Genomic DNA, 27166 nt, shown 5'->3' with positions numbered 1-27166 from the left:
TTCTTGTTCCTCGGGTGTTAGTGCTAGCTTTGGCAACCTCATTGTCAGGGCTGGCTCAAATGAAGGAATGGGTGAAGGCTCCTTTTGGAGACCCACTTCACTGGTTATTTTAATTGCTCAGAGGGATAATTGTTGAGTGGTGCTATAGGATAGTATTTCCCTTGCCACAAGGGTTAGGAATTCTGCCCGGTAATCACTCCTATTCCTGCTGGATGTGTGTCTGTGAGTGGAAAGACTGGTAACTGGCTTGAGATATATCCCTAAAGCTACATGTAGGGACTCTGTTAGATTAACTTTGGGAAACTGATGCAATCATCGTGGATACTTTCCTCATTCATCTTTTGTAGAAACAGAATATTTGCAAAGCTTAAAATTAGCTTCTTAATAATCTTATTCTAGGGCACTTTCTCATGTAGTGTCCTCAGACCAATTTTCTTTGTATGTTTTTCGCAGACAAAGCTCTTGGAGGAAGCATAGAGATGTGATAGGGCTTGGACTTCAAAAGAATTTTTAGTTTTAAACACTGCTATTGTGGCTATATCTGCTGTTGTAAAGGGGTGTGAAATACTGTTTTCTGGTATTCTGTGGAATAAAACTGTCTGTACTTTCTAAGATATAGTAATGAACAAAATTCTGAGTCTAGTAGCCATTAGATAGCTCCTCAAACTTAGCTGCTTCTGTCAGTGGAAGGGAAGCATCTGAGACAAAAAAGTTTGTAGTTTTGAAACCTTATTAAGGTATAACTGATTCACAATAATTCAGTACACAAAAATGTGAACTTGTATAGGTCACATTTTAGGATCAGCTTAATAGCTGTAATTTTTAAATTGGAAGTCAATGGAGATAAGGTGTGATGGGGTTGTTAATTATCTTTTTAAGAATTTTTCTCACTTATTAAAATAAAATGACATCAATTTTGAGTGGCTATGTAGACAGCATTAGTTAAAATGGAACAAAACAGAAGCTTCTGCTGATGAACTTTGGGAGTCATCAAATGACCTTGACCTCTTTGCTAAGACTGAATACTTTAAAGAACCCAGTTCTTCTTTATCCTTCCTTCTATTTATGACCTTTGCCATAAAACTTTTCAGTGCCCTTCCAATATTGATAGGGCATTTGTCCTCACGACTAGACTCTGAGATCAGTCATTTAGCTTACGTTGGCCAATGGGATGTTAGCTTATGTGACACAGGTAGAGGCTTGTAAAAGTACTTGTACATTTCTGTTCACACTCTTGCTGTTTTCTGTCACTATAGAAGAACAATCCTGGACTAGCCTGTTGGAGGATGAGACATATGGAGCAGAGTTGAATTATACCAGTTGTCCCAGCCAAGGCCAACCACAAGATATGTTAGTGAACTCAACTAAAACCAGAGAAATGTCCAGCTGACCTACAGATGCATAAGCTAAATACATGCTTATTGTTTTAAGCCACTAAGTTTTGGGGTGGTTAAACCTGTAGCATTCTTGTGGCTGTATATAGTTGATACAACCTCAAATAATCCTCCTTTTCAAACAAGTCCACAGGACAGATGGCACTGATGATCCTCAGTGATTTCTTGTTCCAATGACAATATTTCCTGTTGGTTTCAAGAAATTTCTAGAGCAAGCTACTCAGGAGTATTTGTGTGAGACTTAAAGTGGATTATGTTTCCTCTGTGCGGAATTCTAGAGATATTTTCTATCTAGTCCATATATTAACCTAAAGTATAGTAGTAGCCTTATGGGGCACAGAACGATTTAGTCCATAAAGAAAGATAGAGCAGAAAATACCTACAAGTAGGCAAGTAATTGAGGTAAGTTCATACAGTAGGAAATGCAAAGGACAATATACCCTTTGTCGAGAGCAATTTTGACTAAGGAGAAGTAGCAGTGGGTGGAGTCAGTAAACAGAAGGCAAAAACAACATTTAGAAAAAGGAAACTCGATTTACGTTTGAGCTGGTTAAAGACAACATGGTGTAAAAATCAGTGCTATGAACAAAGACTGAGCTTTCAAACCTTAACTCCATTTATACTCTGCAAGCTCAACTTATTAAAGAGGCAGAGGGGAGAGGGATAGGATGGGGAAGGTTGGATGAAAAGAGGCAAAGAGTTGGTTTTGTTGGGGCATGGTTCTTTAATTCATTGTGCTTTGCAGTCAAATGACTGTTGCCTTTTCTAACTTCAGACTGTATATAGTATTGCTATTTCATTTACTCTCTTTTGTAATAGAATTCTGCCTTTTAGTGGTTATATAAAAAGTAGCTGGCTGAGAGTGTTCTGGACAGAAGTAGGGCCTTACTGAACACATCCAAACAGTCACGTCCCTCCATTCATCTGAAGCTGTATTCGGAGAAGGGGTGTTAGATGGGGGACCTGTACTTGGTTAATTCATCATATTACTTGGAAAGGTCCTTATTATTGTGCACAGCAGTGTGGTCACCTGGCGGTAGGTCATTAGCATTTAGTCTTCTTTTCCTCACCACAATGTACAACATGCTAATTAGGATATTCTGAAAGCTAAGTAACCTGTTTTAAAAATCAGACATTTTAATTTGCAGCTTTAATGGCTGTTTTTATAATAACTGGCTTTATTGGGGGTAAAAGCACTTCTCATGTTCCACTAGCAAGGCAGAGTATAACAGAAGCTGACAAAATTAAAAACCTCATAATGCGACCTTTGCCTGGGATAAAAGGCTGTTTCATAACAATTTCCTTTTGTTCTTTGTTTAAGCCATTACTCTAAAAGGAGCCTCCGATTAATCTAAGTAAATGCATCATTACAGTACTAATCCGTGTCCTTCTGTCAGTGTCTGTTTTAATTAAATAAGAAATGCTAGCAGAAAGATATCACGCACAAAGCTGTGATTGGAGAAAGAAGCACTGGTTGATCAAGGAAAAGATTAAAAAGAGCTTTAGTGTTTTGTCCATTTGCATAATTCTAGATGCCACAGAGTTTCAGGTTGAAAAGAAAACTTACAAAAGAGTTTAAAACATTTCATTCTTACAGATTTAAAATAACGGGATTTACCAATGAAATTCTAATCATCCCATTTATCACATTAAACATTCCACAGCAAGGAGCAGAACGGCTTGGGGTGTGTCTTTTAAACCTTTTATGCAATATTGTCTTGTATCTCTGAAAACATACCTGTCAAATTTTCATGTGTTTCTTCTTATTTTAGGTAAAGTTGATGGTGAAACCTGGTTGTGGGCATACAATGTGATTTATTTTTCCTTTTTAAAGTATCTTGCAACTTTTAGTTTAGTTTTGCTTTTTTAAAAAATGGCTTTCTATTGATAACATGTTAAGAATTTAGGTGCTTAATTGGTTGTTAACAATAAAAGTATATTTAATAAATGCTTATGAAATGAATATTGTTACATTGATACACAGAAACTCTTCTTAGCAGTAGTGTTGCAGAATTCCCGTGGTGAGGGCTTTCTTAATATACCGGCCATTATTTGATGTAATGAAAAGAGAAAGTGTGCAACAGTGAGATTGTTAATTAATTTAGCCTAACAAGATGAAGATAAATGAAGCAAAGCACAGTTTGAATGAAGCAAGAGGTCTTATTTACAATTTAATACATTTTTATATAATGCAGATTTCACTTGGTAAAAAACAAACAGACCCTCACCCCAAATACCCACTAACAGCAAAAGTACGTCCCTTCCCCACAATTCAACACTAAAATCTTGGTTTGACTTTACAGAAAACATGTACTGTGGCCCCATATGGAAGACACTTTTACAGTGTGTAAACAGTGCTTTTCTACAGCTAAGAATCCTACACTAGTTAACCTTTAACTTCAGTATTTTGTTATTCTCAATATAGACTGGGGATGACCATAAGAATAATTATCTAGAAACCTTTGGGTTTCTTGTTCTCCAGGTTATCCTGAGACATCTTGCTTTAGTTATTTAATAATAATTTTATTTTAATTCTTTTTTTTTTAACCAAAGAAGTTCAAAAGTGGGAAAGGAAAAAACAAGCTGTGTGCCTTTTTACATGTGCTTGAATCTTTAGCAATTGTACAGAATTCTTAAATTAGCATTATTTTTTAAAGTCTCCCTTTCAGTGATTAATGAGCTTTATCCAGTATTTGACCTTTTATCATTCTTGTTTTCTGCTCAGAAGTACTTCCTTCCTTCCTACTGTAGTTAGAAAAGACTGTCTCTTATCTTATGTTACTGTAGGCAGTGGTAACAGGGCTCTCTACAAATGGTGTTATTATGGTCACTATGTTTTTATCTCAGGGGTCACGAACAAATCCATGCAACTGCTTCTAAGGATTTCAATAAATAGGACTTTTTATCCAGACAATCGCCTTTTATGTTACTTTTAAACAAAACTACTAGTCCATCAAGAGTTTCAAAAGAAAACAATTCTACAGAGTGCCGGTATGGCCGCACAGACCAATCATCATGGCACCCATTCTCCAGTCCTTTATTTTTCAAGTCCACAACAATAGGTTGTTGATTCAATGGACAAGACCAGAACAATTAAGTTCTCTGTTTAGCAGCAGTGCAGCATTTTAATGCCCTTCTCTAATAATGGTCTCATTATTGTTATTCTAAGACTGGGCCTCAGGAGGAGGAATATTTGCTGGAGGTACGTCATTATTTTGCAAATTTCGATTAGCTCATCATGTTGTCTGTAGTGTGAAAATCGTAGCTAATTAGGGCAGCCAGTTAGACTACCAGCTTTTGAGCTTATGAGTTAAAAGGTAGCATACTTGATAGGCCAGTGATGTGAAAAAGGTGGTAAAAAGGAGGATTAGAGCAGTTGCCTTAGTAACTCCAACTTCCATCTGTGAGGGAACAATGGACTTGTGTTTCTCCCCCACCTTGGTGTAAAAATTGGTTTTGTTTTGAAAGGACAGGGTTCTTTTTATGACAATCTGGAATTCAGCCCAACTGAGTGTAGTTTTAGTTGTTAGGAGAGACCATTGGGGATAGGAAAGATGAAAGGTCATGGTGAGCTTCAAGGACATGAAAGGTTGTTGTCTCATGTAACAATAGTAGATTGTTTTTTTTCCTAATATTTCTAGCCAGCCCCTAAGTCAGGTGATGGAACAAATACCTACAGTTTAGTCAGGTGAAACAGGAGTGGGTGGAGGAAGGAAAGAAGAAAAATGGGGTAAGAGAGTTTGTATTTTGTTAAAAAAAATGAAAGGGTAACTTCAGTCTGCTTTCATTAAACAAAGCGATATTTCTTTGTCACCATCTCTGAGATTCCAGTGTGCTTTGGGTGGTTTGCTTCTGTGGGCCATCAAATCTCTGGGAAGCTCTCTAATGTGTTAGGAAATGTGATTTAAGCCTTCTTCCTGAACTCCCAGAAGGACCAATGATGTGATACTTAACAATAAATTTAGTTGTTTTAGCTTTCTCACGTTATTGGTGTTCTTAAAAGGTTTTCCTTCAAATGCACACTGAATAAAATGAATGATAAATATGAAAGAAATTTGTTTCACCACTCTACGGGATTTTATCATAAATTCTATGAGTTCCATCACTGAAAGTTTACAGGAAACTGTTTAGATGTTGCTGCAATAGTGACACAAATTTTTCTCCATGTACATAAGAAAATGTCACAAATTTAAGAGCTACTGTGGGTTTGTATACAGAGGAGGCAATAGAAAAAGAGTGAATACAGTGTTTTTTTTGTTTTGTTTTTGTTTTGTTTTCCCTCAAAACCAAATCACCCTTTCTGGGTTTAAAATACTTTATTTCAGCAAAATGAGTGACTTGTATTTTCCTTCCATATCAATATTAAAACATTTAGGGTTGTTGTTGGTGGTGATGTGTGTATGTATGCTTTAAGAACTAGAGAGTATATAGGAACAAGTGTACTTTTTCTTTTTTAAGCAAAAACATCATCTCTTGATGATTTGAGAAACCTTCATATTTATTCTTCTCTATAGTCCCAAACAACCTTTATGTGACTGAAGCTGGACTTGGTCCAGGGGGTTGGGGAGATTTTCAAATTCTCTTTTAATCCTTGGTCTTTGTTTTCTTGTTCTAGCCAACCACCCTATTGCTGTATCCTTTATTCTTTTGAGAAGCCGTGTTCCTTTGATTTATTATAGATACCTCATAGACTTAAAGTAATATAATGAAACTTTAGAGCTTAATGACTTTTGAGTTCTCCTAGTCCAAATCTTATATTTGAAAAATTTAAAAAGCGAGACTGGAAAGTTGAAATGACTTGCCCAAGACAACTTGACTAATTAGAGGTAGACCACTGCCATTTGCTACATGGTTTAAATATAAATACTGAAATCAAAAGAAGACTGGAAAAGCATTATAAAAAAACATGTCTAACTTGTTTACTGGTCATTTTAGTGATTGAGGAGAGATGGAATAAAGCTAACACCTGGTAGTCGTGGTAGGGTCTGGGATTCACATAAGATTTTTTTTGGTAACTATTAACGCTCCATTTTAAATAAATGGAGATTTTTTTCCCTGTCAAAAACAAACAACAAACAGCAGCAACAACAACAAACTCCAGCAGAACTGGGAAGGTACTAGCATAGGATCCAGAATCTGCAAACCTTTCTTGGTCCAGGCACTGTGTGAGATACTTTCATATGCGTTGTTATAATTTACAATTTAAACACTATTTCTAGTGTAGTAAGTTAGTTAACTGTTCTTTTTCCTAGTTTTTGTATTTGTAGAAAGGGATCCAATGTTATTCAATTTCATTAGGTGTTATGAGACATAAAAATTGGTATATAATTGAAAAATGCAATACACATTTGGCAGAATATTGTAAGACTGCAAATTTGTGCTTTATGCAAACACAGATATCACAAAACAAATATGGACTATAATGTTTAGATCAATATAAAGGCCATGGTTTGTTTTTGGCACCATTCAGAAAGTATTTAGAAATTTGGGACTATGTTTAATCATAAAGGAGGAAATAAAATAACTTATAATTTTACCTTATTATTTCATAATGAAATTTACTTCCTAGTAATATTCTGGTATATTTCATACAAGTCTTTTATCTACGTATGTATGAGAAGAAAGAACATGTCTAGCTTGTTTACTGCCCTCTCTCTGGGGCCCAGAATAGTGCCTGGCTCATAGAAGGTACTCAAAAAATAGTTGTTGAGCAAATGAAAAAAATTTTCTGCAAGATTGGATCATATTATGTATACATTTTTGTATCTAAAAACTCACTTTATTGATTTTTTTATGTTAATAGTCTTGGAGAACATTTTTAATCACTACATCATATACCATCATATGGATGTACCACAATTTGTTTTACCATTACATCAGTGACTTATAGCTTTTCGCTATTATAGTACAAAAGTATATTTATAAGAATATCTTGTTTATTATTAAAGTGGTAAAAATGTTAACATGGGTGAAAAATAACTCCCATGATTGTAGTATAAGGATCTCACCAAACTTCATCACCTCCTTCAAGTTTTTGCTTAAATGTCTTCTTAGTGAGATCTACCTTGAACATCCTATTTAAAATTGCAACCTGCTAAACATTCCTGTTCTCTCTAATGCTGTTCTATTTGTTTCCAGAAACTTTTTCAATATTGAACATACTATATAATTTGTATATCTTTTAAATGTATTGGCTTTCTTTCCAACTGGAATATAAGGTCTATGATGGCAGGTAATTTTTGACTGTTTTTGTTCCTCATATTCGCCAGTGTCTTGAACAATGCCTAGACCATTAAACATGTTCAACAATATTTATTGAATGGTTTATTGAAACTTTAAAAAATGGAACTTTTTAAAAATTCGACATTCTTCAGTTTCAATGGAACTGAAACTGTCTTTTTTTAAGTTAAGAATCCTTTTTTCTTCACGTGGGCAACTCTCATCAACCAATTTTTGCACTGGCTAAAACTTCCATTTTCTCCCTTTGAACATGTACATGTTAGCCAGTTAAATCAAATCATGGCACTTGATTGAATCTTAGGGCAATGTTGGATAAAGTCAAATGTCATGTAACAAATACCCCAAGCTTTTACTTCTTCAAGTCAGTCTGAACTCTGTCTTTAGGTAGATGGTTTTGGATGAGAAATGTCACCAGTATCACTCCTTATCCCTTTCCTCATCTGGAAGTCCTTCTGTTAAGAACCTTAAGGCTTAAGTATGAACTGGGCAAACTCAGGTTAATCTGATTATTTATCTATACTTTGGGATGATTTTGCCTTAGTCTTCCCCCAACTAATATTGGTCATGTTCTTAAAATTTCCTTAGGAGAGACATTTTACAAACTTCCATTTACTTTTTCACTGTATATGGCTTATATTTTCCTTTAAAAATAATGTAGTACTCAGGAGGCTGAGGTGAGAGGATCACTTGAGTTTAGGCGTTCAAGGTTGCAAATGAGCTATGATAGTGCCACTGCACTCCAACTTGGTCAATAGAGTGAGACCCAGTTTCTTAAAATAAAATAAAATAAAATAAAATAAAAATAATATAAAACAATAAAAATATTACTGCTTTAAGTTATCTATGGATGTTAATTATAATCTTTTATACAGTAGCAATTTATATAGCTACAGTAATCCCTTATGTTTATATGGTATTTATAGTTTCAAAGCTTTTTAATAAACATGATCCTGTTTAATTATAAAAATAACCCTATGAGACACACAGACCTGGTTTATTATATTCATTTTACAGATGAGGAACTGAAGCACAGAAAAGTTAAGAGATTTAGTCTAGATCGTAAATCTAGGAAGTGGTAGAGAGGCCAAGAAAAATCTGTTTTCTGAGTTCTACTAGTTCAGTAATGTCTTTTCTTTGTTTTAGTCACTTTAACCTTCTCTCATAATCATCTTTTGAATCATCATCTTTTTGTTGACCTTTCTTAAAAGATTCTATGAAAATAAAAATAAATGATTAGAATTTCAATTTAAAAAAAATATTATTTTACTTGGTCTACTAGTCATTCCAGTTCTCAAGGGTTTTCCTTTAGGTTTTTATGGTTTTTTTTTTTCCATAGCCTTTATCTTTTCCTTAATTCTGGTTATGAACATGGCCTTTTGTAGCAATTTGTGAAACCACTGGCTGCCATGTCTGCCTTTTGACCTTATAGAAGAAATACATAAAACAGGATATTAAAGAGTTTCATAAAGCAGAGAAAGGAAAAAAAAATCTAGGGTAAGTGGTACTTAGAGGCATAGGCAGCTAGACCTCAATAAGACCCATAGACAACAAGTGGAGTTAAAGAACAGATTCTAGTTTTTTTTCTATAATGGAGTATAGTTATTGATGTCAATTGTCCAACCGTTTAGCTAATACATTGTGTCTGCTATGTTAACTTTCTCCCAAGACTGTTCCTATCCTAGTAGACCCTTACTACTCTGCCCCACACCCGGTACGATGAATAGGACTTGCTTATTCACATCCAGGAATATGAAATGTATAACTAGCTAAAAGGCCAGGGAATGGTTATGGTTTTAGATGGACTACTGCACTCAGCTACAGAAAAACAAGGTGGAATCTTAGCTATTGGAATGAAGACAAAAGGTCAAGGTCAAACTCGCAATAAGGTACATACTTTTATTCTGAATTCTAAGGGATTGCGTTGGAGTCCTTCTTAGGTAAGCTTAAGCTGATCCTAGAGCAGTGGCTCTCTAACTTTTAAGGTATGTAAGAATCACTTGGGTGGTTAGGACTTGTCAAGTGGGGCCCAGGTGTCTATATTTTTTGCAAGCATCCCAGATTATTCTGATGCAAGTGTTTATAGATTGCATTTGCAGAAAATTGCCATGAAGCCTGGGATGACATTTATTGTAGGATAAGGGACCATGTCACTACAACTGTTGAGAGAGGAGACATTTGGAATTTGAAAGTCAGACCTTTTTACTAAGAGAAAAATGTATGTCTTGTGCTCAGAGCTGAGTTTTGTTTATCTGCATATAAGAAAGCAATAAACATGGGCTGGTATGCACTGGACTGGTGTGCTGTAAGCCTGTTAGGTTTTTCTCTTCATGTATCTTGTATCTTGTGTTTTAGCACCTGAATGCTTTTGTAATATCTAACAAAGATTTATACCTTTTAGTGTAAGGCTGATTATTCTTTTGGGCCTAATTTAAACTGTACCTCGTTTTTACTTTCCTTTTGATATCTGCCTGATTAAATTTCCCCTGTTCCTTCTACCTTCATAAATTGATTAGCATGAGTTGGGCAGACTGCTGTAATGCTAAGGGTTAACCAGAAGAGAATTACAAATGAACTATCTAGAAAGTTGATTATTAATCCAGCTAGAGAAGAAATATGCTTTTACTTAGCAAGAATGAGTATCCAAAGAGCTGATAATATTGTTAAGGCAGCGGGGTGGAATGGCAGAGCTTGGTAAGTAAAAGAAAACTTGGAATTAATCTTTTCTGTCCACTTTTTAAAATGATTAGAATGTTGATATATTTAAACAATTAAGTCTAAGATGAATTTACAAGCTGCTGGAACAAATCTAAAAAGTTCTAAATCTGTTTGTTAATGAGATCCCTATACATGCTATTGGTAGACAGTAACTAAAAAGTATTTACATAAGTAGATAAATATATTTAATTTTGAATATTTATAAAAATACATGATTAGATTTGTGATTAAGAACAAGGAAATGGGCATGGAGAAATGATTACTAAAACGAACTAAGTCCAAACCTCAAGGAATATAAACTGAAGAATCTTCAGTGACAAACTCTCTTGTTTTTTTCACAAGAGGAAGTTCTGGGTTCTTAGGTATTAAAATATAATTTAAAGTAAAATATTCACGTAAAGATTCAGTGAGGTGTTTTCCAGATGTCTAGTTAACAAAAACTGTTATAGGTTCTGATATTTTTGGGGTCCCAGTACTTATTTCATCATGATGTTTAATAAGGACTTTTCTAAAGACAGCTTTTATGGTATTTGTGAATTGCAAGGAAAGAGAAATGAGAGGCTCTGTGCTATTTGTACAAAGAAAATTAAGTGAAAAGATATGATTTTAATAATGTTCTTCCACTAAAGACTGCTCCTCCTGTTATAGAAGAAATTTTGATGTCAATATTCAATTCTATAAGATTGAGATTTTGCATAAATTACTTCATATTACAAAAATGAACCTTTCAAGCATGATGTGGACCATACATTACTGAATATTATTGAAACTCTATGTAATCAGAAGCCATTTCAATATACTATTGTTGTACTTAGGAGAAGTTAGGAAACATATTAAACTTGCCTTACATTGCAATTCCACACAAACAAATGCACATTTTCTTTCAGTTTACATCTTGAGTGGGAATAAAAACAATTCAAATTAGCATTTTGTCATTTAATGCTTAAATGAGCACAGAAAAAAATCTTTTTCAAAAACTAAAAATTCAGTGTCGGAAATCTACATTATATGTGTGCATGTGTTTGTGTGTGTGTATTTGTGAAAATACACAGTATACATGCATTCAAAATGCCAGAGCACTATTTAGTCCTATATACTCAGCTTTTGTTAGTTCTAATGTTCTGGCCTATATTTAAGACTGGGAAGAGTAGATTATTGTAAGTGAAATAATAAAAATAGTTAACATTTATTGAGCTCTGTGTGCTAAATGCTTTGTTTTTAATCTCATTTAATCCTCATATTAACTCTGTACTTGTTGGAAAGCTGTAAGGATTATAGTGTATGCTAAAACAAAAGATAAGCTAATTAAAGAACCCCTAACATCTGATGCTAAAAGTCTAGCGAATAAAGGCTCAGGAAACAAAACGTATAAGAGGGGAGATCTCTAAATTCTATGTGCTTGAATTTCTCAAAATTGAAAGATTTGATATGAGCCTGAGAAAGAAGAGGGAAGGGAAATAAATCAGTGAATTCTTAGCATTCATTAATTCTTTAAACAATTTTTATTATGAAAATTTCACTCATATAAAAATGTCTAAAGAATGGTATAAATACCTGTGTTTATAAGAAATAAAATATTACCAATATAGTTGAAGCCTTTTCTAGTTTTATATCTCCCTGTCGTCATGCTAGTGATAATGACTCATGCATTTTGTGTCTTTCATTCCCATGCTTCTTAAAATAATATATGCTTAAATTCCATATTCCTTGTATGGTAGGGAAAACCCCACCTACCATTCTTTGGGATCCAAGAAATACTTTTTCTTAGCTTCCTATTATACTTTAATTAAACAAACAAAAATATTCTTAGCATAAAAGACCCTGGCCCCACAGAATCTGACCCCTCTATTGCCAGCCTCAGCTCTTGTCTTTCTCCCAAATCATTCTTTCTGATCCAGCTGCTGTACTGGTCTAGTGACAGTTTCTTGGACCCTCTAAATTCTTTTTTACACCAAGATATTCACATAATGCTGTGTTCTCACCTGGAATGCACCTGTTTCCACTCTTCATCAGAGTGATTCCTATTCATTCTTCAGGTCCCTGTTTAAATGTCATTTCTTCAGAGAAACCCTCCTTGCTCCTTCCAATGCAAACCTTGTCTCCCTGCAAGGATCTTGTTTCTCATCCTTTATTTTATAGCAGATATTGCAATTTGAAATTATGTATCTGTGTGGTTTTTGTTTAGTGTCTGTCCTTCACTCCGGACTGGCCCATTTTGTTCTTGGATGTTTTACTTAGCATGTAGCACACACGGTCTTGCACATTATAAGCATTCAGTAAATATTTGTTGTTGTTATCAGGAAGAGGAATGTAGTGAATGAGAAAGTGAAAAAAGGGAGATTGACAGAAAGCAAAGTACATAAAAATAGAGTCTGTTGGTTGGTTTGGATACACTGTTTAGAGAAAATTATGCAACTTGATGCTCTAAGATTGGGGTGCGGATGGCGGTAGAAATGTTTTTGTTTCTTAATATCTAGCTATAAAACATTTAACAGCTTTTCTTCATTTTTGTTTCTTGTTTTTCAGTGTAGTCTGTCACTTTGTGTCCTCGCTTTGGGGAATCTGTATTCCTGGACACAGGAACTGAACTTTCAAATTATAAACTCATGGAGCAGCCCCAGTGGCTATAATCTTTTGTGGAAATGCTATAATGGGCTCTAAAAATCTGGAAAAATTTAGGACACAGTTGAGAAAAAAATACCTAGTATTTTTGCAAAGAAAAGCCATGAGACCACATGGAAGGGTTTTAAGGTAGATAACAATAACTAAAATATTCATAGTGTTGCCAGTTGCTAAAATATTGGTAGACGCTTTTGTTTTTCTTCAGGAGGATATAGAAAAGGTTATAAAAACATGAAAAAGAAAATGAAGTCAGTCTGAGAGGATGGCTGGGTTTTATGAAATGTCAGAATATACTTATATTGTATTCTATGTAAATCTTTGCTGGCATTTGTAATTAAGTCCAAGGCTAAAAGATTATGCTGGAACTTTTTTTTGTTGGTGATGAGGGAAAAGGAGATAAAAAAGAGGATTTAATTAAAATGTTTTGGTGTTAAAAGGAGGGGATTTATAGAACGTCTCACTTGAGGTCATAGAAAGTGCCATTATTAATAACATTGCACCTTATGTTTTTATTACATGGTATACTTTCAAGTGAACTTTTTCATGTATTATCTTATACATTTTTTTACTTATCTGCATTTTATTTTAGAGCAGTAAATGACTATGGAATTCTGATGGTGCCTTTTTCCATCTTCTTCAATGATATGCATAGTAAAAATACAATTAAAAGTTTCAATCTCACAATATTTGGAAAGATGAAAAGTCAGTAGATTCCTTTGAGGCCTTATAGTAATCCTGTGAAATGGTTAAAGTAGAGCTATTATTATCTTTGTTTCACAGCTAGGAAAACTGGGACAGAAATCAGAAAAAAGCCAGGACTGAAACCTTGTTTTTCCTTTTTAAATGCATAGGTGTAACTTTCTAGATAAGATGAATATTCACCTCACCCCTGCACTCCCAATAAGATTAAGATTGTAAGTTAGGTTCTTCTAAGGACCAGGATGAATTAGGTGGATGTCCTTCGTAAGTTGTCTAGATTTGAAAGTTTCATTTTTTCCAATTTTCTAAAGATGCAAAGTAGTTAACAATTTCCAGCATATGGAACTGAGATGGTTAAAGGCATGTAATTAGCAGAGACACATTACTAAGCCTAATTATAGGTTAAGGTTTATTGGATGAAGTTTAGTGGTTAATTCCTTGCCTGATATCTTAGGGTTCCAAAAATAAGAAGACACAGGTGTGGGCTTAAAAGAATGAAATAGCATAATTTTTAGTAAATGAGCTGTGGCTCAAATGAAGCCATGTGATAAGGCAGAAGATAGTAGCTTCTTGGGTAGACAGCCAAGTCACATGAGCTGAAGATGGGTTAGTGCCCATTTAAAAGATATTTTAAAAGAGAAAGTGAAGAGCAATGTGTATGTCACTTATATATATATGTGCAGGTAGGTAGAGGGATATTTTTTTTGAAAACAAATGCCAGGAAGTATTTTTAATGATTACCCAAGGAGGCTGTTGCTTCATTAAGGTAAAAGCCAAATCTTGTTGCTTTTTTTCCAACTGAACAAATAGCCTAGTTGCAGGGAAATTCAGTTTCTTACTCTTTCCTGGGCTCATTGGCGAAAGCTTCCCTTAGGTTAAAAGAATGAAGCATGTTTATTCTGAAAAACAGAAATCTTAGGAGAATTCAGTAGGTGTCCTGAGATGGCTAGAGTGCTGTCATAGGGAAAAGAGTGAAACTGTGGAGCGCTAGACTCAAGTTAGTAGTTGAAAGTCTCAGGGAACCAGAGTCACGGGCAGGCAGAAAAAATAATTTTGTAGCAGTTATGGTTGACTAAAAATGGAATGGGCTTTTTGTTGTGATGATGAAGTTCTTGTCATTAGAAAGAATTAGGGACTTGACAGGTTAAAATGTTGAGTTATTCCAAATTATTTCAATATTAAAGTTTATGAGAAGATGTCCTCTGTGAGTCACTTGGCTAAGACAGGGAAGTGAGTCAACTTAAGGGACAAACATATATTCCTCTATTATGTGAAGCCAATAATGAAGTTCATGAAGGCCAGATGTACTTTCTGGGTTGCTCAAGCATATGAATAATAAAAAAAGGTGTGTTTTTATCTGTAGACAGCCAATTGATATCTGGAATTACCCCAAGTAAGAACTTTAGACTTCACCATGTATCCCCAAACCTCATAAGAATTGGTGTGAGTGGAACTGTACTATAAAGGGAAACAAGAGGAATCATTTTGTTTCTCCACAGGGTCCAGATCTGGAAAATAAGAATTTTAATCTGCATTTGGAAGAACAGGTTTTAAAAGTAGTAATAAATTAATTTACTTATCTTTAAAAAGCTTCTGATCTTCTGGCACATTAAAAAGATAATAGATCACATGTTTAAGCACTTTAGAGATTTTCTGTTATTTTAGTTTCTCTTACTGAGGTAATACTTTCATTTAAAACATTAAGTATATTTTAAATTTAGACAAGTAAGACACAAATACATTCTTATTGTAGAACAGTGCCTGGCATATAGTGGACTATCATTAAGCATTTGTTGAATTAATAATTATTGAAAAAAAGATGAGCAAAATTTTTCTTAATGTGTTTTCTCACCCTAAAGACTGTTTCTTTTCCCAAGTGTAACTACTATTTTCAATTTTCTTTGTATCCTTTCAGACTTCTTGTACAATCACATACAAATATATACCATTACATAGAAACATGCGGCTTTATTTCGTGTCAGGGTAACAGTGTCCCCTTTTACACATATTGCTTTATACTTTACATGCTTTTTTCATTTAAAATTATGGCTTGGAGCTCTATGTCATTTTATATAGCTTTATCTCATTTCCTTCTACATAATATTTTGTACTATATATGTACCATTGTTGTATTGCTAGACATCTGAGTTATTTCCAATTTAAATATTCTCAACTGAAATTTTAGGTATTTAAATATTGAGGATGGCAAAACCTGGTGTCTTTTAAAATATATAAAATCAGTATAGAAAATTTCTACTTGGTAGAGTTATAAAAATTAAATAGAAAGATAAAGGCACCTAGCACTCAGTGGACCTTTAATAATTAGTCCTCTCCCTTCCTTTCATCTTCTCTTAAATCATTTGCATGAGGGTAGGATTGAAAGAATAAGGAAATATGATCTTTCACATACTCATTTTCATCTTCACTTATATGTTATTTGTATTGCTTACTGAATGTTTAATTCCCAATCTGAAGGCTGTTGAAGGTGTTGACTGACTTAGTGCCTCTTTCACCCATTGTTCTTTAATGACTGGCTGAGGAGGAACATGTTTACTAATAATGAATTAATTCATTCACTGACTAAACATCAATTTGTACCTACTATATGCCAGGCACAAAGAGGATATAATGAAAAAGATATGATTCTTGCAAGAATCTTACAAATTTGTCAGCAAGACAGACACATAAACTAATGAATAATGTGACAAGAGCTTGGGTAAATCAGGGATGGGAACAACTAGATGAGTAGTCAGGGAAGGTTTTCTTTTTTTTATTAACATACTTTAAGTTCTGGGTTACATGTGCAAAAGGTACAGTTTTGTTACATAGGTATACACGTGCCATGGTGGTTTGCTGCAACCATCAACCTGTCACCTACATTAGGTATTTCTCATAATGTTATCCCTCCCCTAGCCAGTGTGTGATGTTCCCCAGTGTGTGATGTTCCCCTCCCCATGTCCATGTGTTCTTATTGTTCAACTCTCACTTATGAGTGAGAACATGTGGTGTTTAGTTTTCTGATCTTGTGATAGTTTGCTGAGAATGACGGTTTCCAGCTTCATCCATGTCCCTACAAAGGACATGAATTCATCCTTTTTTATGGCTGCATAGTATTCCATGGTGTATATGTGCCACATTTTCTTAATCCAGTGTATCATTGATGGACGTTTGGGTTGGTTCCAAGTCTTTGCTATTGTGAATAGTGCCACAATAAACATACATGTGCATGTGTCTTTATTGTAGAATGATTTATAATCCTTTGGGTATATGCCCAGTAATGGGATTGCTGTGTCAAATGGTATTTCTGGTTCTAGATCCTTGAGGCATCGCCACATTTTCTTCCACAATGGTTGAACTAATTTACACTCCCACCAACAGTGTAAAAGCGTTCCTATTTTTCCACAACCTCTCCAGCATCTGTTGTTTCCAGTCAGGGAAGGTTTTCATGGAGTAGGTGACAGTTGAGATCAAACATTAAAGGCTTACTAACATTTCATTGAACAGATCAAAGGAAAGGACAGTGGAGGCAAAGGAATAGAATGTGTAAAGGCATGAAGGAGTGAAAAAGCATGGTATCATTTAATATGTCTTTAAGGCAATACAAGAAATCTTTATTATCAGAGAGTAGTTGGTAGTGAGAAAGGGCCACTTAATCCACTGAAAATTGAGTGAGGGTAACAACTATGGACTCTGGACAAAACACAACTATCTGAAGGCACTGAAGAGCAACTTGAAACAGACTAAATCTTGAGAGGAGAATGAGCTTTGGAAGAATGCAGGGAAAGAAACTGGGTAAGTTTGTCATTTTCAAGCTTTCTAGTATGAGGGCCGGCTGCAAAAAAAGCAGCATTTTTTTCTGACCTGGAGAATCAAGGCAACAGACTTTGGGCAACCACAACTGCTAAGAGGTGAGGAGGTAATCTTGGGAAGGAAAAAGCCACAGAAAGGGAACCCCAACTTCTATATTACAAATCTCTGACTGATCCCCAAACCATCCACGAACAGGATTGATCTCAAGTAGCCCAAGTAAGGTTAAAAGAGCTAAATAGATGTTTGAGCTACTGCTTACTGCAGGTAAGACAAAATATGCAGTTCGAGTCTCAGCAAGTAAGCTTCTTTTTTTTTTTTTTTTTTTTTTTTTTTAAGACGGAGTCTTGCCCTGTCGCCCAGGCTAGACTGCAGTGGCGCCATCTCGGCTCACTGCAAGCTCCACCTCCTGGGTTCACGCCATTCTCCTGCCTCAGCCTCCCGAACAGCTGGGACTACAGGCACCTGCCACCATGCCTGGCTAATTTTTTCTGTATTTTTAGTAGAGACGGGGTTTCACCGTGTTAGCCGGGATGGTCTCGATCCCCCGACTTCGTGATCCGCCCACCTCGGCCTCCCAAAGTGCTGGGATTACAGGCGTGAGCCACCGCACCCGGCCGTAAGCTTCTTAAACTGCAATACTATTTAGAATACTATAAATGAATCTAGAGTCTCCACAGCATAGTGGTCACAATGTCTAAGATATAATCCAAAATTGCTCAACATATGAAGAACCAGGAAAATTTGAAAAAAAAATAAGACATCTCAGTAGAGAGAGATAAATTATTAAAAAGAGCCAAAGGGAACTTAAAAAAACGATATCTGAAATAAGAAAATCACTTGAGAGGACAATCAGCAGAATAGAGATGACAGTGAAACTGAAGATAGATCAATAGAATTATACAATTTAAAGAACAGAGAGGCCAGGCATGGTGGCTCAAGCCTACAATGTCACCTCTCCTTTGGGAGGCTTAGGCAGGAGGACTGCTTGAGACTAGTAAGTTTGAGACCAACCTGGGCAATGTAGCAAGACCCTGTCTCTACAAAATAATAAAACTAGCTGAGGGTGGTGACACGAACCTATAGTCCTAGCTACTTGAGAGGCTGAGGTAGGAGGATCACTTGAGTCCAGGAGTTCAAGTCTGCAGTGAACTAAGATGGTGCCACTGCACTCTTGCCTGGTTGTCAGAGTGAGACCCTGTCTCTTAAAAACAAAAACAAAAAACCACAAAACAACAGAGAAAAAATTGGAAAAGAAAAGAAGATGAATATAGCATTAGGGATATATGACAATATTAAAAGGTCTAACATACATGAGTCCCAGAAAATAAAAGAGAATGATGTTGGGGCAGGGAAAAAAATTGAAGAAATAATGCCATCAATTTCCCAAATTTGGCAAAAGATATAAATGTACAGTCGTAAGAAGTTCAGCAAACTCCAAGCAAGATAAATGCAAAGAAAAGTACATCTAGGCACCTCATAGTCAAATTGCTGGAAACAAGAAAAATGTACAGGCAAAAATTGTTTTTCTTTTGTAAAGACCAAGAAAAAAAGAAACACAACTTACCAATATCAGGAATGAAAGAGGAATTATCACTATAAATCTTACAGGTATTAAACAGACAATAAGAAAATATTGTGAATATCTGTATGCCAAAAAGTTATACAACTAAGATGAAACAAACAAATTTCTTAGAAAAAAACTTACTAAAACTGACACAAGATAAGAAACTGAATTTGTTCATTAAGAAAATAAAAATTTCTATAAAGGAAACTCCAAGCCCAAATGATTTCACTTGTGGATTCTATCAAATATTTAAGAAATAACATCACTCTTACATAAACTCTTTCAAAAAATAGAACAATTTCTACCTCATTTTATGAGGCCAGCATAACCCTAACACCAAACCTGAAAAAATTATAAGAAAGAAAAATTATAGACCAATATCCTTCATGGTCATAGATGCAAAAATCTTTAACAAAACAATAGCAAATCCAGCAATGTAGGAAAAGGATGAAATATCACGACCAAGTAGGGTTTAGTCCAGAAATACAAGATTGGTTTAACATTTGGAAAATGTCACTGTATTAACAGAGTAAATGAGAAATCATATGATCATTTCAATAGATGCAGAAAAAACAGTTGACCACACCCATTAATAATTAAAAAACTCCCAGCAATCTAGGAATATAATAAAACTATTTTTATCTGAAAAGGATGGCTAGGAAAAACCTACAACTAACATCATATTTGATGGTGAAATAGTGAATGCTTTCTTCCCAAGATAGGAAACAAGATACTGTCCATGCTCATTCATCCTACTTGACATTGTATTTAAGGTCCAACCATTAGAATGAGGCAAGACAAGAAAGCAAATAGTATAATAATATAAGAGGTAAAAAGTAGGATTGTATCTTTGCCAAAGTCATGTGATACAAGGATGATTTCTTTTGTATTTTAATATATTAAGTAGGTGGGGATCAAAATTGCATAGTAAACAATGGGAAAAATGATTTCATTTTGAGTCAACTTTTACAAATTAAAATTAAAATTAGTAAAAATAAGTTTATATATTGGCAGCATTCATTTATAATTCTAACTGTGCATTAATTCTTAGAAGAGTGATCATTTTTTAAGAGTAATTTTTCAGGTCAAATATTATGAAAGCAAAATCAATTTTCACACTCTAGTACCATCTGTCATAACAAAGGCCATTTTTGTAAAGAAAATTTTCTAAGGACTTTGCTTAATCTTTTTATATTCAAATAATTCTTTTATGAATAATCTACCATATTGACTATCATGCTTGCCACTATCTGGTTCTTCAGCTTTTATCTTATTCTAACTGTAAATTGTTGATTTTTCAATGGTTTGAGCTGTTCACTGACACTATATTTCTTTGCTTCATGAAATCTTGCATCTTTTGCAAGATTTGTGATTTTGCTTTGCAGTCACCTTACATTTTTATTTTGAATAGTGGTTTCAATGCCACAATGCAATATCTGGTAATTGACTAGCCTGATGCTCAAACTTGACTGAAAAAAAAATTACAGGTATATGGCATTTTAAAAAGTATTCTTTTGCTTAGGTTACACTTCAATCAGTTAAATCAGTCTTTTGAAGTGGGACCCAGGCATCAATAGTTTTTACAGGTCTCCATGTGACTTCAATGTGCTGACAAGTTTGAAACCACTGAGCAATGATGATCAAAGATACGAGGACATTAACCCACATGTGTGAGATACATGTTAAGTTAATCTGTGAGGGATGTTTACGTGAAGACTAATTTTACAAATGGTAAGTTTATTAATGAATGCCTTTTACCTTTTGTATAATTTTAGTGACTCACATAATGAATATTTGGATAATGAGAGAATCTCCTAAATCCATTGAGTACCAAGTATATATGGGCCAGGAATACAGTGGTGAACTAAAATGTATGTCGTACCTTTCTCTAGTTTACACTCCAAATAAGAGGAAGGCATTAAATAAATATTTAATTGTAGGATAATAAATACTATGAAGGAAAAGGGAGACCTAATTCGGTTTGGGATCAAGGATGGTGACTATACATTAGTGGTATTAAAGCTGAGACATAAATTATAAGTAGGATATAGTTTGGTGAAGAGGAGACAGAAGAGGGAACAGTATTTATGAGGGCCATAAATAGAAAAGAAGCTTGCAAGCTCTAAGAACAGATATCAGGGAAGATGATTTAGAGAACATTCAACAGAGAACAGTTAGAGAAGATCAGGTCTTATGTTGCTAAGTGTGTGTATATGTGTCAGGAAATAGGAATAGAAAGATAATGTGGAATCAGCTTATTAATGAGTGTTGTATCTATATGCAGGAATCTGTATCTTGTAGGTTATGGGGAAATAATGAAGGGTTTTAAGTAGGATATTGACATGATTAGATTTTATGTTTCAGGGCCATGACTCAGTTACTTCACCCCCCACCTGCCCCCCGCAAAAAAGGTTTTTCCAATGTGATATTCTCAACTTAGAATCAGGAAAGTAAACTTTTCTTTGTTTTGTGTTTCCTGCATTAAGGTAAAATTATTGAAGTTGAATAGATTTCTCCTTCAATTCTCATTATTATCCCACTTTCCAAGCTAAATGCAAAACCACATGTATAAGAACGACAACAAAAAACAACAACTCTGCTAATATTCCTCAAGGGCCATATGCATACCAATACAAGCAGAGTCTCCCTATGAGCATTACATTTTGCCAAAGACAGCTTTGAAATAAGGCTGGGGGAGCTTGAGAGCCATACTCAAGGGGCTGGCCCCAGAGAACAATATGGCTCCAGATACCACAGACCTCTGAACATGTTAATGTGGCCCAAGGCAATTCAACAGCAACAAACATGAAACTATCCTCTTAGTTTGAATGACTATTAGCTAGTGGGAAAGGAACTGTGAGAGAAAAAAAATGCAAAATTTTAATTAAATAATGTTTTACATATTTTTCTCCTTTGGACTCAATTCAGTCACAAATGATGTGGCAGTTGCCTGGGATTTCCACAGCATTAATTAATTCAAAAGAGCAAAATATGAATCAGAACCAAAAACATATTTATTATGCCCTTCTTTCCTTTTAAGCATCATGAAAAGCTTAGCGTCTCTTGTGATCACAGGAGTTTGCATTTCTAAGACTTGGGTGTATCCAATTTAAAATGGATTAAAATATGCTCCCAACATAATAATAAAGAAAAGATTTTTTAAAATTTTTTCTTTTCTGTTTACTGAAAAGTTTTTCTTTTAAGTGATGGAAATAAGACATGAAAATAATGACACTACTGAGATTAAGCATACCTCAAGAGCATTTTTGTTTATTTCCCAAGGATAAAATGCACTTCAATAAACATTTTACAGGCATGATTTAAACTTACCCTCTTTTTATTATAAAATATAGATGCCTCTGATATTAAAAATGTTATATGTTGCTTTTAACCCACTGACAATCAGAATCCAAGAAAAGAAATGAAATAGTCACAGCTGAGTCAGCTAAAGTGACAATTAGACCTGGAAATGTCAACTTTTGGGGGAAATTATAGAAAAGGTGAACTGAATATTAATTGGGATCAGGGAAGCACATAATCTGAATTCTAGTTATGATTCTGCCACAGATTAACTGTGTGACTGTTTCATTTAGTTCATCTCAAATCTGTACTAGCCCTGTACTATTACTTCTGATAATAATAACAACAGTACTTGAAGTAATTGAGAGTTTACAATGTCCTAGTTAGTACTTTGTGCCTTTTTATTCTGCTTTTCACTCTTTTAAAATTGGAGCTCTGATTAATGAAGAAACAGGAAAATGATTTCTATTTCTGGAAAGATGCCCTTTTTCCAGATGAAAAAGTCCTCTAGGATCTGCTGTATAGCTCTCTGGCATTTTCTCTATTAATTGTACATGGTCTTCAGTGGGACAATTCCAAAGAGAGATAGATACTACAGGTCAGAAAGAAATAAAAAGCAGTATGTTCTTTTCTGATATTTAATTTGCTTTCTATGCTGCCATTCTTTTTTTCCCGTTGTTCAATGTCAGTGATTACATGGTAATAGCTAAATTTGCCAAAAGCATTTTTATTTCTATTTTAGAATGTAAAAAGGTGCATTTCCCTTATGACTATGCTTTTTGAAATTTCTCAATTTTATCAGTTCATTTCTATGTTTTCCTAGAGTTGTTTAAACATTTTTTTTTACTCTAAAATTGAGGGTGTGTCAGAATTGTTGCAAGCAAAGACAGAGGTAATCATATGTGGTTTTTGTTATAAGCTTTGTGTTGATACTGACTGCTATTTAAAATAGTATCTTTAAGATGAATCTACTTTTAGCATTTTTTCTTTTTCACGTGAGTTTATTGTGCAACAACTAATCAAATTTTTCTCTTATGTTATATTATTTTAATACCTTTATTCTTCTAGGATGTCATGGAGGTGATTTGAACAGGGAACTCAGTATAGAATGAGTTAATCTATTATTGCACATTTATGTATTTCTTAGGTTTCTAAAGACTTCCTCCTTAAGTGCCAACATTATTTTTACATTTTAACTATATATTCTGATTCCTAAAGTTTCTTGTTTAGAAAAAATAGAAAGGTTAAAGAAGATAATTAAAATAACCTATATTTCATTTTCAGAGATAGTTCCTGTTAATATTTTGGTATAATATATATGAGGGTGAGGTTATATCATAGTTTTATCTTCTGATTTTTAAATTTACTTTTTTAACAACGTTTCTCAATGGCTCATCTATCACTACAAACATCTGATTCCTGAGCTGTTCCCTGAGTTGAGTGTCTGTTAAGGCTATTTATCTCTACATTGAGTGGTCTCCAAATTGCTGGGGTTTTTTTGAGTTCTTGTGTCTGCATTTTTGGTTTCCTATCTTTGCCTTTTTCAGACTTGAAGTTGTCATTTCTCTGTAATTAGTGTTTTTGCCTTTAGCAATATCAGTCCTCCTCCCATACTCTTTTATTAGCTGCTACTTCTATTTGGCTATGGGCTGTTAAATTAGATAAGAAAAGAGGGAAAACTAACATTTTATAGGCTTCTCTTTTGTTGTACAGCACTAATGTAGGTGCTTTTACATGTGATGCCATTTAATTCTCAAAATAACTCCTTGAATTGTTATTAGTTCATATTTTAAGGGTATTAAAGATCCATTTATTGAGCACTTAGTATATGCTAGGCACTGTGCTAAGAACATTACATGTATCTATTGGGCTTATTCCTGCAACACTCCAGCAAGTTGAACTATTGTACAGATAAAGATACCTGGACTCAGAGAAGTTGAGCAACTTGCCCAAGATTATATTATTGGTAAGTGGTGGAAGCAGGATTTGAACCTAGGTGTGCTCCTCATATAATTAAAATTATGCTACAGTTATGCTTAAGTAAGAGTAAATAGATTCTGAGCTGAGGAATTCTCCTTTAAGAAAACTAAATAAGCTTTAATGTATTTCCTTGAGACATCTGTTTTGGATTTTGCTGCCTTTCTCTTTCTTCTTATTGCTCTGTTATAGGGATGTTGCTGTATAAGGAATCTATGGAGCAATGTAGTGACATAAGTGTGGAAGAGTCTAAGGAACTCAATATTTATGCTGAATTAATCCTAAAAGAATGAACTTTAAACATTTTATGAAGGAAAGAGCAATTCTTATTATTGTTACAGAAGTCTCTATTTCATGACTCATGGAATCGTGAGTGCATTCTTTGCTAAATTTCCTATATCAAAAGATACTTACACAGAAGCTAATACACCATTGTATAGCTACATTTCTCAGGAAAACAGGATTTAATCTCAATGTATACTTCAAATTATCCATGAAAAGGGAGCAAAAAGTTTTAATTAGTTTTTTTTTTGTTTGTTTTGTTTTTAATGGTGCTTAAGAGATTAAGTTGCGGTTAAGAGCTTGGTCTTTAGCTAGTCTGCCTAGGTTAAAATCCTGACTCTGCCATTACTAGTACAACTAGTACAACTACCCTGGAGTTGACAATGATTCCACATTGAACTCTCTAACTTCATTTTAGGTCCATTTCTTAGATCTAAGCACAAAAACACCTAAAATTGGAGTATTTTATTCAGAATAGACACAAGCTTCAAGTGAGGAATTAAATATAGCATCTCTTTACCTTTAGATAATTTTCCCCCAAGTTGAGAGATTTCCTCTGCCTTTTGAAAATATGATACTATATTAGGTAAAAGCATTACAGTGCAGTTCTTTTCAACAGCTGAATTGAGTGTTGAACTTGCTTGGTATCCTATAATAGAGAGCACTCCTTATTAATTTGCTATTTTATTATTGAAAGTGCAAATAGCAAATTATTCTCCCTCCCTCTGTTGTGTGCATGTGCAAGACAAAGATAAAAGCCATGTTTCCTTCGTGGAAGGGTGTGGAGGTAGAGGATGATTTCAATTAGAAATAATGACAGCAATAGACGCTTCCAATGAAGATATCGTGGCCACCAAAGGACAAAGGCAAGAAGTTAATTCCTGAAGTCGAGGTATTTGATTAAACATTTAGGCTGTTCTTTATGTGTACAGATGCCAAGTATGTTGTTATTTACAAGCTAAGTGACACCGTATTTGACAAAGGTATTTTCTGAATGTTTTGATGATGGTTGGGAGAGAAGCAACCCTGTGATATCCAGAGAACCTTTAATAATTAAAGTAAAAATAACATTTTGATAAGCAAAAACTTTGCTTTTTAAGACTTTTACTCCTCTTTTATAATGATTAAACGTAAGAAATGGCCTATTTTAATGGTGGTTTATTATTCTGGTTAATAACATTCACTTAGAAAAATTACCAGACTTTGATTAGAACATCTATTGTATGTGTGTGTTTTTTTTCCCCACTACCTTAACAAATTGTTTTAGAAATAGCTTACAACTTAGTGTCACCCTCAGGTGTTTTTATGTCTAAACATTTATTTTTAAAACTTTGGTATTGTGTTCATTGTGCCTCTGCCTGTGTGTGTATGTGTGTGTATGTTTGGGTTTTGGGAGGGAGTGGGGGAATAAGAAGAAATTTTAGATATGGAAGTCGGTGAAAGATGATGTGTGAGACTAGAATTTTGTACTGAAAAAGAAAAGGTTTCAAGCATGTTTTCTCTTTTGGAGAGAAAAAGAATGAAACTGACTATATTATGCATATTTTCATGAAGAATGTATATAAATATAATCTGGAAAATTATAAAAACAAACTTACTTTCTAGAGATGGAAGAAAATATATGTGACTTAAAAAATTGCAGCAGAGGTAAAGAAAAAAAAATTGAACATATTTTAAGCATAGTGTCCAATTGGGATAAAGTTTTAACAGAACAGGCTGAGCCATTTATAGATTACAACACTTTTAATTTTCTCAGTGTTACAAAGTGTTTATTTTGATAAAGAATTTGTTGATGCTCTATCAGCTTTTCCATGTGCAGAAGTGCAACTGGGTGATTAGTTAGGCTTGAGGCTAGCAGCCAAAATGTAGAAATTTGGTCCCCAGTTCTTTTTCTGGAATAAGAAAAAGCTACTGAGTTTTCCTGAGCCTTGATACCCTATTGCAGAAATTCTTCACTATCAAGGATGTCAGCTCTTTTCTCTCTTCTCATTTTTCTTCTTTCTTTCTAAAATTCTTTTTGTCTCATGGTATTACCATCTTCATCTGTGTTTAATTAAGTAAGTACTAATTTTGGAGGTATTGTAGGGTTTATGTTAGCTTAGTCATATGGAAATTCTTTACATTTGTATCAATTTTTTCTATAATTATAAAGCTAAAGAATCTATTTTTTTACTGTAAGTTTAAAGACAAGGAATCTAAAACTTGGAGAGATTATTTGGCTTGCTCAAGATCATATGTTTAGAAATCAGGGCCGGGACTTTTGGCAATGCCACACTGCCAATTAATTGATTCCTGTTCATTTATTTTTTGTCTTGCTATATTGATGACCAGTGTCAGTATGTTATTTTTATCATCTGTTTAATTATTTCACAATTGTCTTATTTTGCTATATCTACCTATCTATTAGTAGATGGACACATATAGAGGTGATTTGCTTGATTGCTTTTTATGTCTCATTTGCAACTTGATATAGTTGACATGTAAGTGGTTTCATCATTAAATTAAATTTATGATTGGTTGGATAGAATACACCAATAAGTTTATGAGATTTGCTTTTTTTAGA

At 34.2% G+C, this 27166-nt stretch overlaps 1 protein-coding gene across 5 annotated transcripts in view, besides 3 other annotated features; it reads left to right on the top strand.

Moving 5' to 3' along the window:
* Positions 1 to 27166, top strand: part of SOX6 (SRY-box transcription factor 6) — a 772029-nt gene that overhangs the window by 330695 nt on the left and 414168 nt on the right. Inside the window, exon 1 of one of the 5 annotated variants that reach the window (NM_001145819.2) lies at positions 4920 to 4983. The exons of 3 other annotated variants lie outside the window; for them this stretch is intronic. The gene's annotated coding sequence lies outside the window, so the exon portion shown is untranslated. Of the gene's footprint in view, positions 1 to 4919; positions 5125 to 27166 lie in introns of those variants that run through there. One more of the 5 variants, NM_017508.3, reaches the window with a different exon arrangement.
* Positions 3292 to 6060: an enhancer, noted in NCBI's record as "VISTA enhancer hs1301". NCBI's record gives its function as "enhancer in: forebrain[4/4]" and the evidence as "EXISTENCE:transgenic organism evidence [ECO:0001131][PMID:17130149]".
* Positions 3999 to 4583: an enhancer, noted in NCBI's record as "OCT4-NANOG hESC enhancer chr11:16424746-16425330 (GRCh37/hg19 assembly coordinates)". NCBI's record gives its function as "activates a minimal SCP1, AML or CMV promoter by ChIP-STARR-seq in naive H9 embryonic stem cells {active_cell/tissue: H9 hESC(naive)}" and the evidence as "EXISTENCE:reporter gene assay evidence [ECO:0000049][PMID:30033119]".
* Positions 4584 to 5169: an enhancer, noted in NCBI's record as "OCT4-NANOG hESC enhancer chr11:16424160-16424745 (GRCh37/hg19 assembly coordinates)". NCBI's record gives its function as "activates a minimal SCP1, AML or CMV promoter by ChIP-STARR-seq in naive and primed H9 embryonic stem cells {active_cell/tissue: H9 hESC(naive and primed)}" and the evidence as "EXISTENCE:reporter gene assay evidence [ECO:0000049][PMID:30033119]".

The sequence above is a fragment of the Homo sapiens genome, chromosome 11 (assembly GCF_000001405.40).
Source record: "Homo sapiens chromosome 11, GRCh38.p14 Primary Assembly".
In the NCBI taxonomy this organism is placed as follows: Eukaryota; Metazoa; Chordata; class Mammalia; order Primates; family Hominidae; genus Homo; species Homo sapiens.
This window is presented reverse-complemented; position numbering and strand designations above follow the sequence as displayed.